Here is a 15,370-nt window from a genome sequence, read left to right as displayed (position 1 = left end):
TCTGAAAAGAAAATAACCTTGCACATGCTTAAGGATCTGAAAGGAGGCGCTTGTGAGGTATGAACATGGGATGTGAAAAGAGGCCAAAGACGCAGGAGGCACGCAGCTGCCCAGCAGGGCTAGGAGGATGCAGAGTATTTCGCTTAAGGAGTGATGGGAAGCCATTTAACAAGGAAGTGGTGATGGTTTGAAAAGACCCTTTAGGCTACAAAGTGGAGAATAGGGGGAGACAGGAAAAGAGGAAGCAGGGGGCATTCAGTAGGAAGGCACTTATGTTGGTCCAAGCAAGAAGAGTCCCTAGAATGTGCAGCTCACATCCCATTGTCAATCTGGTTCTCCCAGCCACTGGAACAATGTGGGGAACACTGTAGACCTTCAACATACACATTGATGGAGTGAATAAGTTACACGATTCTAGTAAACATATAGATAGATGAGTTAAGACACATTTGGAAAATGGCCTCGCTGATAGATTGAATATGGGGGAAATGGAGAGGGAAACAGGGACCCCCTTTACACATCTAGCCCCACCATATTTATTTATGTTTTCTTTCTCACATCAGACTACAGAGGGTAGTAACAGGGCTCTTTCAACTCTTTAGGCTGTGTTTCCACCTCGGTGCTTAGTCATATTGGCCAGAAGTGGAAATAACAGAATTTTCCTAGAGAAACTGAGATTGAGTAGAATCGCAAAAACCAGTTTTTATTACAGATTCTCAATTCTATATGACTTTATAATCTTTGATGCCAAATCTCTGAACCTTTGGGAGAATCGGCCAACAGCAAATAGAGATCTTCAGAATGGTCCCAACACTTTTGGGATTCAGCATTCTGATAGAGAGCTGGTGAGGTAATCGTGTATGTAGCTAATGTGTTCCAAAGAACTTTCTCCCACCTGGTTTTACATTCTATTAAATATATATTGTGTGAGGCTGGGCACAGTGGCGCACACCTGTAATCTCAACACTTTGGGAGGCCAAGGCAGACATTGCTTGCCTGGAGTTTGAGACCAGCCTGGGCAACATGGTGAGACCCTGTCTCTGCTACAAAATACAAAAATTAGCTGGGCATAGTGGTGCAGGCCTGTAGTCCTAGCTACTTGGGAAGCTGAGGGGGAAGGATCACTGGAGCCCGGGAGGTCGAGGCTGTAGTGAGCTGTGATTGTGCCATTGCACTCTAGCCTGGGTGGCAGAGGGAGACCCTGTCTCAAAAACAAACAAAAATATATTGTGGCCAAACCCTTTCTTGGCACTGCTTTTCTCGTCAGGCTGATGCTGGCATCTGTAGCTGGCTGCCCGTGCTCCTGCTTGTTTCCTCAGCAGAGTGCAGCTGTCACTTGTCACTGGTGGAACCCGGAGGAGAAATGACCTAGACTGAGCTATACCAGAGCAGAAAACCGAAGAAGCCAGACCTCAGGAATAGAAAAACGAGGGTCCTGTCTGGAAAGTCAGGTGGGCATCAGAGATGGCTGTGCTCCAGAAATGCTGATGAATTTTGGAGGATTAGTCATTTTTGTCAAATGGGTTTTATGCTATTGATTGAGAAACCAAAGCAACAATCAGATGTTACTGGGAGCGGCACCAACAGTGTTCATACTGGTTAAGGATTTCCACGCGACAGAAAATCAAACGCAAGCCAGCTTAAGCCAACCAAGGGATTGCATTGGCTCACAGCCTGAAAACTCCACAGCTTGATCTGGAATTTACACCCTCTTCATGATCCCAGCGCCAGGTCTGTTTTGTTCATAAGGGCTGCCTCTTCTGTGTGCTGGCTTCTTGCTCAGGCTGGCACTTCTCTTGGTGGGACAAATGGCTGAGGGATTTTGGGCTTTCTGTGTTCTCCAATACATCAGCCAGGAAAAGAGGGATTGTCTCCCCTGTGTTACAACAGAGGACTGAGGAAGCTTTTTCCCAGAAGCGCAAGTGAACGTTTCCTCAAACCTCATTGGCCTGAATCAGCCCATATGCCCACCCCTGAGCCAATCACCCGGCCAGATGATGGGTGCTCTGATTGACCGAAGCGCAGGAGGACCCACCCCTAGGAGCTGGCTGTATCCACCTGCCAGAGAAGGGGGAGGCAGTGCGGAGGAGAGGGTTGCCTCCAGGTAATATCTGGGTGCTGTGGCAGGAGAAGGGGCAGTGGATGTGGCGGGAGGCAACTTACGAATGTTTGCTACCTCAACATCATTATTATTGTGATGCAGGCCAAATTCGAGGTGGTGCAGATACAGATAAGAACACTTTTGTTCAGAAGCCCAGCTCTGCCTGCTTCTAGCTAAGTTACTTAGTTAGGTCTTTAAGTCTCAGTTTCTTCATCTGAAAAAACGTGGATGATAATACCTCAGGGAAGGCCAAATTCATATATTAGAGGATACGTCATATGTATCAAAATATATAAGGTTACGTATTTGAAAAAAATAATAATTGAATATGAGGTACTTTTCTTAAAGTGCCAAATACAGTCAGCATTGTCGAAGCCAAGATTGAGCCCCCGTTTCCACTTTAGCAGGGCAGCAGATGGAAAGAAGATGTCCCCAGCCACCATGAGTGTTGGGCAAGTCAGGGCCCATCCCATGTCTTCATGACAAGATAGTTTCACTGGTTCAGAACCAACTTAAGCAGCAGGTGTTCAGGGCTAGGGTGTTGAAGTTTCAGCTTTGATTTTTCTATGAAATTGTTCGGGTTATTAAAATATTGGCCCTATTCTCTCGCTTAAGAACTGGTTTCATTTCTAATGACACAGCACCATCATGCCATTCCTTGATTTAGTCACGAGAACCAAAACTAATGTGTGGCTAGTTTCATGTCGTTTTTATAGCAGTTAGTACAGAGAACAACAGGCTCTTGTGAAAACAGATGTATTCGCTATCTATTTCTCTATCTGCTGCCTCCCAGATTCAAAACCCCATTTCTGAGGTGGCTTGGTCCTCCGGTTTGGCCCTTGTGGAAGAGGCTCTTGTAAGGACAAGAGCCTAGCTATTATTCTCAGTGGGGAACCATTTTATAAGAAAGAAGTGTGCCATCCCCCAAACCTTGAAAGAATTGCAAGAGGGTGTCAGAAAGAGACCTTTCTTCTTTTGAGAGAGGATTCCTTTGGCATTATTGTCTATTGTGAGCACACAGGAGGGTTCTTTAGTTGATGAGCCTCTGTAAACTTCTTAAAGGCCTTGTGGTATTGCATGAGAATGTGAGCATCTATTTAGTATTTCTGGAAAAAGCATTGCCTTATAATAATGCTAACACTCTCATAATGACAACACAGTCAGTCTCTTCACAAAGGTTTAATCATCAGCAATGTCTCTTATATAGGCAGGTTAGAGGACAGATGTTTACAGCTAAAGAAAGAGACATTAAATTTTTCATGACTTCAGAGAGAGTTGTAGAGTTTAATGTTAGAGTCCTGGGCTAATTTCTGGGTAATTGTTTGATCTCTCTCTGCTTGGATTTCTTTCTGTATAAAAGGCAAATAATAATGAGAATAATAATAATAATAATAGACCAGCCATGGCGGCTTACAACTGTAATCCCAGCACTTTGGGAGGCCAAGGCAGGAGGATCGCTTGAGTCCAGGAGTTCAAGACCAGCCTGGATAACATAGTGAGACCACCATCTCTACAAAAAATTAAAAAATCAGCTGGGCATGGTGGCATGCAACTTTATTTGGGAGGCTGAGGTAGGAGGTTTGCTTAAGTCAGGGAGGTTGAGGTTGCAATGAGCTATGCTTGCTCCACTATACTCCAGTCTGGGCAGCAGAGTGAGACTGTGTCTCGAAATAATAATAATAATACTTCAGGGAGTGGTAGTGAAGATTATATAAACTAATATATGTAAAGTGCTTAGAACATCACCTGGCACACAGTTTGCACTCAAATGTTAGTTGTTGTAATCATCATCTTCACTATCAATTTTTCCTCTTTATTTTCTTTTTAGAGATAGTGGATAGTGGGAATAGGTGGGAACGAGCAATCCTCCCACCTCAGCCTCCAGAATAGCTAGGACTACAGGCACATGCCGCCATGCCTGGCTGATTTTTTACTTTTATTTTTAGAGATGGAGTCTCACCATGTTAACCAGGCTAGTCTTGAACTTCTGACCTCAAGAGATTGTCCCACCTCAGCCTCCCAAAGTGCTGGGGTTACAGGCGTGAGCCACAATGCCCAGCCCCCCTATTCATTTTTCTCAATTGAAAGTTGAATGCCCTTGCCTCTTTGACACACACATATACAACCACTCTCCTCTTGCATCTGGCCTCCTGCCAATCTAGGTTACTCACCTGATCTTTGCTCTTCAGTGGTCTTCCAACATCTGTCTCTGTCCAAACCAGCAGCCTCAGGAAAGCCTTGCTTCCATGCTAGCAAACTGGCCTCCTCTAGGGCCATCTAACCAGTCTTTCCTTGTTGCCTTTTATATACTAAATATGATTCCTAGGGGGTAAATTTTTTTTAAGGTGTTAAATACCATGTCTAGGCAGATTCAGCTCACCCAGAAGACTAGAATTGGCAGCTATGCCTCCTGCTCTCTGCTTTGATTCAGAACCTGTGCTATGCTATTGTCAAGCCTGGGTATTGTACCTTCTTGGTCCATTTTTGAATTTTTCATCCATTTTGACCAACACTGTTTAATTCCTGCTTTTTTTTTTTTTTTTTTTTTTGAGACGGAGTTTCATGCTTGTGGCCCAAGGTGGAGTGCAATGGTACGATCTCAACTCACTGCAACCTCCACCTCCCAGGTTCAAGCGATTCTCCCGCTTCAGCCTCCCAAGTAGCTGGGATTACAGATGGCCACCACCATGCCTGGCTAATTTTTGTATTTTTTTGTAGGGACTGGGTTTCACCATGTTGGCCAGGCTGGTCTGGAACTCCTGACCTCAGGTGATACACCTGCCTTGGCCTCCCAAAGTGCTGGGATTATAGGTGTCAGCCACCGCGTCTGACCAATTCCTGCATTTTTTAAAATGACAAATGACATGGTCAAGAAAGCCTTTCTGCATTTCCTTTCTTTGGTCTTCATTTATTCATTCAACCAGTATTCTGTTACTGTGTCCTCTGAACAGTCTCAATAAAATTGTTGCTGCTTGGTGCTTTGTGTATGTGCACCTGTTCCCTCTCCTAGGTTATGAGAACAAAAGCCAAAGATCCTATTTTAAAATTTTTATTTATTTTCTTAATTTTTTGCATCACCCACAAGACCACAGGCAAAGCCTGCTTGGGAATGAACTCGTGAAGAGCTGTGAAGCACAGATGGGTCTCTCTGGTCTTTTCCCTCTACTTCCATCCCCCTTTCTATTCTTCTAAGAGTCTCACAGACCCTTTCCATCTGAATTTAGTTAGGCCTCCAGCAAGCAGAGACACAGATTTCACAGTCAGGTGCTGCTCCATGCTGTACTGGGGTGATGCCCCAAAGGTGTTCTTGGCCCCGGCCTTCAACACCCTGTGTTGATGTACTTGGTGGCAGATTCCCTGCCATCTCCCCAAATGATCGTGTCTTCTCTTCACATCTCATTATGTTTTCCTTGGCCTGATTCCTTTCCTCCTACCCAGTCTGATTCGTCTGCCTTTTCCTGACTCCCTTCCAGGCCACCCCTTCCCCTGGCCTCTCTTCGTACCTTGGCCGTTAGTCTTGCTTGATGCCTCTGTATGCCTCACTTTGGTTTCTGTTCCCCCTTATTCTTTTTCTTTCACTTTCCCCCACCCACCCGTCGTTTTTAACAGTGTCATCATGACTTACAGTGTGGGAACATGATGCTTGCTGTCTCCCACATTACATAGCCGCCCCTGGATTTCATGTGACCAACATTCCTTCCCCTAACCCCTTGGGCAGGATAGAAACTCCCCCACTGCCAGAAGCCGGGGCCTAGCCCTCATCGCGAGTCCCGCTTCCTGCCCACCTCAGGAAGCAAGGGCAGGGCAGAAGATGGAGGCCAGGGCCACAGAGTTCACCCCAGACCTCGTGTCAGATTCTGTGGGGCAGTGTGAGCTGGGTGTGACTCAAGGCACCACTCACAGCAGCTTTACTCTGTGAAAGCACGAAACAGGGAGGGTCCTCATAAAGGAATGGCAGGGGCTGTGGGGAAGAGGTGGGGTAGCACATATGACTGAGGCCAGGGAGGTTTCTAGTGCTGACATGACTTGGCCTCCTCATCCACAAAACTCACTTGAAACACCAGAGCTTGATGAATAACAGCGTCCCAGTCATAAGCAGAAAGAGCTCTTCCCTTTTTCTTCCGTCAGCCCTCACACATACCGCTTGTGCAATCTGTTCTTATGTGAAGGTTTGCAAAATCGTCCAAGTGGAGGATGGGTCTGGGATTTCTTGGACACATATCCATCCTGGAGGGCCAGACATCAGCCAGGGCAGCTGGAACAACCTGGACTGTCACAGTAGGAGGGGACGGGGGGTGTCAAGGCTGCTGGGAATGGGGCCTTCTAGCACTCGGTTTCAGAGAGCAATAAATGGAGTTCTTATTTCAAACGTGCAAACCGGATTTGGTCAAATACTCTCCCTGTGAGGCAGCTGCCCTTTGAGGCTGTGGACCAGAGTGGAAATAAAGCTCCTGTCTGACAAAGGATAGGTTTCCTTGACCCTTTCTGCTGACTATTCCACTTCCTGCTGGTTTGCTGCGTTGATCCTTGGGCAGCAGCCCCAGGGGTGCTTGCTGCAGCAGAGTGAAAGTGATTGCCAGCCTGAGCTCTACAGGCTGACTTTGGGCTCTGCAGGCACGTTCTTCCCCTTGCTTATTTTCCACTGCTGTTTGTGAGTCAAGCTCAAGGGCCACGCTGAACAGGCTGCTGGAGGAAAGGAGTGAGCCAGGTCTCTTGATATCTTCTAAAGTCTCAGAAAGGAAGTACAGACCTAATTCAGTGCCCTCTCCTTTTCTCTTCAAGTGCAGGTGGTTAAAGTCCCCCTGATATGGTTTGACTATGTCCCCTAAAAAGCATGTATTGGAAAATTAATCCCCATTGTAACAGAGTTCGGGGGTGGGGCCTGATGAGAGATGATCAGGCCATGAGGGCAGAGTGAATGAATTAATGCCGTTACTGCAGGAGTAGGTTGGTTATAAAAAGGGAGTTTGGCCCTCTTTTACACACACGCACTCTCTCTCTCTCCCTCTCTCGCTGTCTCGCTCTCTCACTCTCTTGCTCTCTCACTCTCTTGCTCTCTTGCCATGGGATGATGTAGCCACCAGGTGCCAGCTCCTCAGTCTTGGGCTTCCCAGCCTCCAGAACTGTGAGCCAAGACATTTCTATTAATTGTAAATCACTCAGTCTGTGGTATTCTGTTATTACAGCACAAAATGGACTAAGACATCACCCCTGGGTGCATCCCACTCATGACACAGGCAGGAAAGCAAAGATAGCTAAACTCAGGATAGGCATTTGTATTCAGAGGGTTTTTTTGTTTTTTTGGGTTTTTTTTGCATTTTTCCACATTGCCTAGTATATAGCACTGAGAATGCGTTTTAAGATTTATGGACAGTTTTGACATTTAAATAAGGTATGACCAAGGTAAAGGGAGAAAATTGTGGGAATTTTGTCAAATAGGACCAAGGAATGCAATTTTTTTTCAAACACTATTTTTAAAGGACTCTTTTTGTAGAACCTTAGCTTTATTTGGTATCAGCCAAGTGTACCAATCTCCTGTTTCTGATTTGAGAACAAAATGTGTACTGTTACCCGTACCAAGTATCTCAGATACCTTTTCCAACCAATTTTGAAAGTTCACAGAACTGGTCTTCCTGAGTCCTTTGGCCTTAGATGTGTAGATACACAGATGATCCATTGGTGTGCAAGAAGAAAATATCTTAACTTCTATTTCTATCTGTGTTTCAATCTAAACAACAAATAAATTAAGCTTTACTGTTACTAATAAATATGATTAATGCTACATGTATTCACAAGTGTACACATATAAAATTTATAGATAAATATAAATATGATGGGGATGCAGGCCCAATTTTAAAAATTAGATTGTATGATCAAAAATTGGTGGAGGCCAGACATGGTGGCTCATGCCTGTAATCCCAGCACTTTCAGAGGCTGAGGCAGGAGGATCACTTGAGCCCAGGAGTTTGAGACCAGGCTGAGCAACAGAGCAAGACCCCATCTCTACAAAATAAAAAATTAACTGAGCATGGTGGCACATGCCTGTAGTCCCAGCTATATAGGAGGCTGAGGTGGGAGGATCTCTTGAGCCCAGGAAATTGAGGCTGCAGTGAGCCGGGCTCGTGCCATTGTGCTCCAGCCTGGGCAATGGAGCAAGACCCTGTCTCAAAAAAAAAAAAAAGTTTGCTAGGACTTCTGCTGCTGGCCAATATGGAGTCATGGAGACCAAATTTACCTTCCTGCCTGAAACAACCCCTACACACACACACACACACACACACACAAAACAGACAAAATATATGAAACAACAGTTTCCAAGACACTGGACATCAGGCAATGAAGAGAAGTGATCCCTAGAATCAGGAAACAATGAGGTGGCCCTTCAACTGTCACAGCTTACTCCACTGAGTTCACACTGTTTAGTAAAGTTATATATGTCTTTTTTTCTTAATTTGAATTTTTACTTTCCTCCTCCTTGAGGACAGTAGCCACATCTCGTTCACGGTGTATCCTCAGGACTTAGCACAGGAGTTGCTGAATAAGCATTTGTTGAATGAATAACTGAAGCTCTACAGGGAAGCCTCAGAATGGTAGGATCATAGATGAACGGATGTTGGAGCCCAAAAGCACCTTAGAGATCATCTAGCCCAGTTTCCTCATTATACTGATGAGGAAATTGAGGTCCCAAGCAGTGCTATGACTGCCCCAAAGTCTCATGGCCCCTTAGTGGTGGAGTTTGTGGGAGTATTCCTCCCTAAAAAGCAACCCTGGAATTAAGCAAGTTGGTAAATTGCTGCAGCTCACAAAGCAGGGGCATCATAGAATTCTAGAGGCTAAGATGGTGTGTTTAGGGACAAAAATATAGGAACCAAGAATTACTGTGGGCAAAGCCATCCAGGGTTGAAGATACAGCCAGACTCTGCTCAATTCTAGAAAGATGCTGAAAGAGCCTTCCAGGTTGAGCAGAGAGACCACAGGAAGAGCATTTTGAACGTGTGCCCTGGTGGACCCAGAGACTTCTGCAGAATGCAGGAGTCCTGGGGCTCTGGATGAAGACAAGCCTGTCCACCTGGAAACCCAGAAGACTCTCAGCCTGTTCCAGGCCACCCTGAGAGTGATCACAGGGCTCCAAGGCCCATCCTCAGCCCATCACCATGCCCCAGAATAGCTCCGCAGGCCCTATCTCTGTCCTGGCAGTGGGGGCAAGGTGGACCCACTAAGAGCAGCCCCGCATTGCACTTTACCCTGCTGCCCAACTGCGTGGCCTGACTGTGTTCCAGGACCCCACATGGAGAAGATCCAGTCCCTAGACGATGCTTGTCCATTAGTGGAGCACCTTCAGGCCACAAGACATGTCCTGGCACAGAAGGACCTTCCTGCTCAGGATGCAAGGAGCTCCTGATACTGTGTCCTCATGAGGTTGGAACAAAAGCCTAAGGGTTGGTTTTGACTCCTCTCTGAGGTTTGGTACATCGTAAGGCAGCCCCAGCTACATCAATTCTCTGCCAGGGTTTGTCCTGGCTTCTGCTGGGACCTAGAAGCTGGCATCAAACCCCTTTCCTTTGAGCTTCTTCTCAGTTCAAATCACTGCTCACTTCTTAAAGTCCTTGATAAAGCAGCCCACCTCTTTCTAAGCACCTTGTTGGGATCTGGAAAGTTCTAGGATATGTCAACAACGGCCCAATATTGTCTTGAGAGTTTTTAGACTTGATCTAGGCCCAGAGAGGAAATGGACTTACACCTGCCTACAGATTCCTACAACCATCACCCAAAGTACATCTGTGGGATCTACGGAATGTGAGCGAATGCTTGGCTCTTGTTTCAAAGCTTTATAGTAGGCTCACCATTTGGTAAGTTTTCAACAGTGACACCTGGGCTTTGCCTAACAAAATGAATGATGGAGTGAAAGTGAAGGGTGAGTTACATGTGACTTGGGGAAACTTCTTCACTTGGAATCCCCAAGAAAATTCCTTCAAGGAAGGAATCTAGCAGGAGGTTATGTATCACAAAGTGGTCTCCTAAACAAGAATTGCTGTTTGACTTACACACAGTTTGGATGTGACTCTCCTGAGGCCCAGGGTCCAGCTAGGGAAGGGGTCTCCGAACCAGCCTGACCCAGGGCTGGGCCGCAACAGGCTACACTGCACCTGTGTTGTGTTCTTCCCCAGCAGCGAATGGTTAGTTCAGGTTACAGGTGGAGCCACAGTGCAGAGCCCACGAAAAGGCAGAGGCATATTCCTGGCAGCTAGTGACTGCAAAGTGTTCTCTATGTGCTATTTAGACTGAGCAGTGGCAGAATTATTGTTAGTCTCCATTTTATAGATGAGGAAACAAAGGCAGTGAGAGGCCAAGTAAGGTGCCTGTAGTCACAGGGTGAGTCAGCAGCTAACTTTGTGGCCCATGGGCCAGCACTTGGCACTGCCTTGGGCTCTGTGGTCTCTTGGAAAATGTTTCCTCCTTTATTCATAGCCAAGAGTTCTTTGCTAGACATTCTTCTGGGAAATCTCACCCTCATGGTAGCCCAGCAGCCAAAGCCCCTGCCTTCCTTAGTCTCCCTCCACGACAGCTGGCAGACTTCCTGCAGGCCACGCAGCTCTCCTCGGCCTCCCATAGACTTGTCTCAGCAGGACCCTCCACTCGCTCCAGCACATCCACTGAGGTGATCCCCTCTGCCGTGGGCCTCGGCCATACCAGCACCTTCCCCACACTGCAGATCAGAATCACAGCCCTGACTCGGGGCTCCCAGATGAGTTTCCTTCCCTGCTGCTTTGCTACCCATGCCAGTCTCTGGTTCCTTCAGCGTCAGCACTCCCACCCACTCCCTGCACATCTCATCCACTCCCTGAGCCCCCTTCCTCATCTCCATTTTTTAACCGGGAAAACCCACCCCTCCACACCATCAAGTTACTTTCAGAAATTCCAGGACCCTCCCAACTTTCCAAGAACTCCTAAGCTTTCCCTTCTCTTGGACATCTTTCTAGACTCATTAAAGAAACACAGTGGCCTCCCCAGCTACCATTGTCCAAAAGTGGATTTGTCCTCAGCTCACCAGTGCCTCACATTTATATTTAAGGTGATGTGGTGGGCAGGATTCTAAGATGCACCCAGGATTTCCTGCATCCTCCTTTGTGTATACACCCTGAGAATACCATGGATTTTATTCCCATGATTAGCTGCTATTTTATGACATAGGTGACCTTAAGAAAGAAAAAATGATCCCAGTGGGCCTGATTCCATGATACGGAGGACTTCAGTCTTATGACCACAGAGAGCAGAATTCTATCAACAGGAAAAAGCTACAAGTGGATTATTTCCTCATCACCTCCAGAGAAAAACTCAGGCCAACACCTAGATTTCAACCTTGTGATGCCCTAAGCAGAGGACCCAGCCACACCGTTCCAGACTTCTGACTTAGAGAACTGTGTACTAATAAGTGGGTATTGTATGAAGCCACTAAATTGCTGGTAATTTGCAATATAGCAGAAAATAAACATAGGTGAGTATTTAATGTGTTGAAGTTTTGGGTTTTTCCATGTCGATTCTGGTACCAGGTCTCAGATAAGGGGCTGCAGCTATGCCAGTGTGGACTGCTAAACTGCAGACTCCTAGCAGGAGGAGCACTGGTTGCCTGGTTCACCCTGAATATAATTTAGCAGCAAGCAAAGATGAATGTGACCTTCCTGACCTCAGGGGCTTCTAATCAGGTAGTTAGACCAGCACGTAAAGAGTCTAATACAAAAGGCAGAGCAGAACGCTGAGTAAAAATCAAAAGAAGGTGGCTTGGCATGGTGGCTTACGCCTGTAATCCTAGCACTTTATGAGGCCAAGGCAGGCAGATTGCTTGAGCCCAGGAGTTTGAGACCAGCCTGGGCAACATAGCAAGACTCCTTCTCTACAAAAATTAAAACTTACCTCGGCATGGTGGCACACACCTGTAGTCCCAGCTACTTGGGAGCCTGAGGTGGGAGGATCACTTGAGCCTGGAAGCCAAGGCTGCAGTGAGCCGTGATAGTACCACTGCACTCCAGCCTGGTGACAAAGTGAGAACTTGTCTCGAAAAAAAAAAAAAAATCAGAAGAAAGGAAATCATATCCAACTGGTGAAATAAAAAACTTCACGGAAGAATTGGTATTTGACATATAAAGTCTGAGTAGGGTTTTACTGAGGGATGAAAGTAGGAAAATAAGAGCAAGTTAGGCAGTGTGCTGCTCGATTGCACAGGCTGTGAGACAATCGATACATAAGGGATAGTATGAGTTAGGGTGAAAACATCTTCTGGGTCCACAGTGTGAAGGCTCTTAAATCATAGTGTTATTTGGCAAGGAATGAGGGGTCCCAGAGAGTTTGGAGGCTGGGGCAGGATAGAATCAGGGTGAACTGAATGTGTAGGATGGATTAAAGGCAGGTAGAAGAAGAGGATTATTCACAGACCCTGAGAGTAGAATAGGCAAAAATTAATCAGCACCTGCACCATGGCTCTGGCAGTGGGGAGAAGAAAAGGAGGCAAATGTTGCAGTCACTGGGGAATATAGAATTTTGAGCAACAGGATAAACACAGCATCTGGCACAGGCCCATTCATTGGTCCAGCCTCCCCCCAGGCATCCCATTATTGAAGATGTGTATTGTGTCTGCTATCTCCAATAATCTGTGCCAGGTACTGTCAAAAAGGCAAAAGTCACTGCATTGGCAGAGGTGGAATGACTGTGATACATGGCTAAAAACTACAGGATCTGGAGGGAGAGACATGGCACTGAACGGCAGCTGCAGGGTCTTCAGGAAAGAATGATACTGACATTGTTTAGCTTACAGGTGGCAAATTTTAAAAAGAAAAGAGCTCTCATTTCTCCTCTAAACCACCAGTAAAACTTCACCTTATCCCAGTACACACACACACACACAGACTCTTTCTCACACACACACACTCACACTCACTCACACTCAGCTACAGCCTGCTGACTCCAGCTCAAATGACTTTCACAATGACAGAGAGAAACAGTTATTCCTGTGAATGCTTCATTGAGTTGTTCTTGAAGACAACTTGGTAGCCATAAAATAGTCCTTTGGGCTATTCCTTAGACACTGGCTTCCTTTGCCTCCCTCCCTGACTGACTGCCCAAGCTATGGCTGTTCCTTCCTAATCAGGATTTTATAGGGCAAGAGGCATACAACGTCGTCTTTGTTCAACCACCACCAGACTAGTCAAGGGCAGACTAGGCCAACAGGGCTGTTCCTCCTTCCCCTTCGGTTCTGGGTAAGCACACATCTTCCACCCTTACTTTAAAGGCAGACAATTTGTTTTTAATCATTTGCCAACACAGCTGAGGATGATTATTAATTAATCAAAAACACTGACTTTTAACTTCCCACGCTCTCTCCAGAGATGCTCCAGTGACAGCTTGCATCTGGACTTCAGAGCGGTTTAGACAGAAGTGGGCACCATGCAGCAAAGACTTGTTTTTTTCTCGTTTATTGTTTTTCGAACACAACTCTAGCTTAATCCCATTTAGTCAGTAAACTTGATTTTAAGGTGGTCTCATTTTGTGGGGTTTCTGTTGGTCTTTTTATACAGCTTCCTTTGAAATCAGAAATGCTGTGTCAGGATTTCACAAAAAGGAAAATAAGTTCAGAGCACATTTTCTGTTCATCAAAACTTGAACCAAAGCACAGCAACAGTATGTTTCCATGAATAATGAGACACCATTGTCTTCCTCTGCTGGCAAGCTTATGTTCTGGTATTACCCTCCAAATTCAAGGTCTCAGCAGTGCATACCTAACAGTTTCTGAGAGCAAGTTTGAAATGTTACATTTGAAAGAGCTCAACAAAAGATTATCTGATTCAGTTGGCTGCAGTTTAGCAACTGAATGTTCAACCCTTTCCAAAGATGGCACGGCTGGACAAGCATCCTCACCTCTGCACTCATTTTTGTGGCCATACAGTAGTTCCCAACGCAAAAAGGGGAGGCAGAAGACAGCTCACCACAAGTTACACTTCAAAGCTGAATGGCTACTCTCTAAAGTGAGAGGAGGGCCAGGTGTGGTGGCTCACACCTGTAATTCTAACACTTTGGGAGGCCAAGGTGAGTGGTTCAACTGAGGTCAGGAGTTTGAGACCAGCCTGCCAGCATGGTGAAACCCGGTCTCTACTAGAAATACAAAAAAAAGTAGCCAGGCATGGTGGCCCACACCTGTAGTCCCAGCTGCTCGAGGCTGAGGCAGGAGAATCGCTTGAACCTGGGAGGCGGAGGTTGCGGTGAGCCAAGATCACGCCAAGCACTCCAGCCTGGGTGACAGAGTGAGACTCTGTCTCAAAAAAAAAAAAAAAAAAAAAAAAAGTGTGATGGGGCATTTGGGGCTGGCTCCACCACTTAGCAGAGGCTAGAATAAAAAATCCACTGCCTTGAGGGGCTGCGTGTGCTGATAAAAGAGAGCAAAACCAATCTTAGGAGGAAAGTGCACTTGCATTTAACGAGGGCCGCATCTTCAGAACCGAAAGTACTTGGAAGGAATATGTTGTCTCCTAAATGCAGCCATCTGAACTTTGGAAAAGCATGTTGTGAAATGTGGAGCAAGACCACAAGGCATTGTCACGCTTGGGTGTCCCGTTTCTCTTCCCCATCTTTCGGTGATATATGTTCTCAGAGCCCTCCAACTTCTTCCAACTCCTGGAGCTGTTTCGCTAATGCTCAAAGCATCCAGGCTTCTGTCTCTTCTCTTTGCCCTCCTGCCACCTGTCTTTTCTTCCTTGTCATTGCTCATTAGCCTTCTCCACTGGAGGTGTGGAAGGGAAGTAAAAGGAGATAAAAACTCCGCTTGTCACAGTCCATTTGCCTCTTGTCAACGGCTCTGGTAAAAGGCCGAAGAGGAAGCTATTGGCGAAGATAAGAGTTTAGATAAGGTTTGGGGATTATCTGTAAAATTCATTTATTCATGGTTACCCTCCCAGTCACCTGAGGATAATGGGGAGTTATCTTTATCTTGCATTTTTGTAGGAAGTTAAGAGCAAAATACAGCCATTTCTAAGAGCTGGTCAAAATAACTCCATGAGATAAAACAAGTATAGTTGCCTTATACCCAGGTGACATAAAACTGGCATTAGCAGCTCAAAACAGTTAAGTATTCACTCCATTGTTTAACTCTCTGAAGCCAACTGCCTCTGGAAATGGAGAATTTCCTCTCTCTAGTGAGGTAGGGAAAGAATTTAACTCATTCTTGGGTTTATAGGTGTCCCTGGACAGCTCTGCATTTCTTCTGAATGAGTGGGAGGAAGA

At 46.0% G+C, this 15,370-nt stretch overlaps 9 annotated features.

Annotated features, from left to right (window-relative positions):
- Positions 2,433–2,552: an enhancer, noted in NCBI's record as "active region_24883". NCBI's record gives its function as "activates an Ori minimal core promoter by ATAC-STARR-seq in GM12878 lymphoblastoid cells {active_cell/tissue: GM12878}" and the evidence as "EXISTENCE:reporter gene assay evidence [ECO:0000049][PMID:35858748]".
- Positions 2,790–3,525: an enhancer, noted in NCBI's record as "OCT4-NANOG hESC enhancer chr6:106614661-106615396 (GRCh37/hg19 assembly coordinates)". NCBI's record gives its function as "activates a minimal SCP1, AML or CMV promoter by ChIP-STARR-seq in naive H9 embryonic stem cells {active_cell/tissue: H9 hESC(naive)}" and the evidence as "EXISTENCE:reporter gene assay evidence [ECO:0000049][PMID:30033119]".
- Positions 5,349–5,808: an enhancer, noted in NCBI's record as "active region_24882". NCBI's record gives its function as "activates an Ori minimal core promoter by ATAC-STARR-seq in GM12878 lymphoblastoid cells {active_cell/tissue: GM12878}" and the evidence as "EXISTENCE:reporter gene assay evidence [ECO:0000049][PMID:35858748]".
- Positions 5,349–6,259: a biological region, named in NCBI's record as "H3K27ac-H3K4me1 hESC enhancer GRCh37_chr6:106611927-106612773".
- Positions 5,413–6,259: an enhancer, noted in NCBI's record as "H3K27ac-H3K4me1 hESC enhancer chr6:106611927-106612773 (GRCh37/hg19 assembly coordinates)". NCBI's record gives its function as "activates a minimal SCP1, AML or CMV promoter by ChIP-STARR-seq in primed H9 embryonic stem cells {active_cell/tissue: H9 hESC(primed)}" and the evidence as "EXISTENCE:reporter gene assay evidence [ECO:0000049][PMID:30033119]".
- Positions 5,819–5,868: an enhancer, noted in NCBI's record as "active region_24881". NCBI's record gives its function as "activates an Ori minimal core promoter by ATAC-STARR-seq in GM12878 lymphoblastoid cells {active_cell/tissue: GM12878}" and the evidence as "EXISTENCE:reporter gene assay evidence [ECO:0000049][PMID:35858748]".
- Positions 5,889–5,988: an enhancer, noted in NCBI's record as "active region_24880". NCBI's record gives its function as "activates an Ori minimal core promoter by ATAC-STARR-seq in GM12878 lymphoblastoid cells {active_cell/tissue: GM12878}" and the evidence as "EXISTENCE:reporter gene assay evidence [ECO:0000049][PMID:35858748]".
- Positions 6,260–7,106: an enhancer, noted in NCBI's record as "H3K27ac-H3K4me1 hESC enhancer chr6:106611080-106611926 (GRCh37/hg19 assembly coordinates)". NCBI's record gives its function as "activates a minimal SCP1, AML or CMV promoter by ChIP-STARR-seq in primed H9 embryonic stem cells {active_cell/tissue: H9 hESC(primed)}" and the evidence as "EXISTENCE:reporter gene assay evidence [ECO:0000049][PMID:30033119]".
- Positions 6,719–6,798: an enhancer, noted in NCBI's record as "active region_24879". NCBI's record gives its function as "activates an Ori minimal core promoter by ATAC-STARR-seq in GM12878 lymphoblastoid cells {active_cell/tissue: GM12878}" and the evidence as "EXISTENCE:reporter gene assay evidence [ECO:0000049][PMID:35858748]".

Source organism: Homo sapiens, chromosome 6, assembly GCF_000001405.40.
Source record: "Homo sapiens chromosome 6, GRCh38.p14 Primary Assembly".
Taxonomy (NCBI): domain Eukaryota; kingdom Metazoa; phylum Chordata; class Mammalia; order Primates; family Hominidae; genus Homo; species Homo sapiens.
Note: the sequence above shows the minus strand (reverse complement) of the source record. Positions and strands in the feature narration are given on the sequence as shown.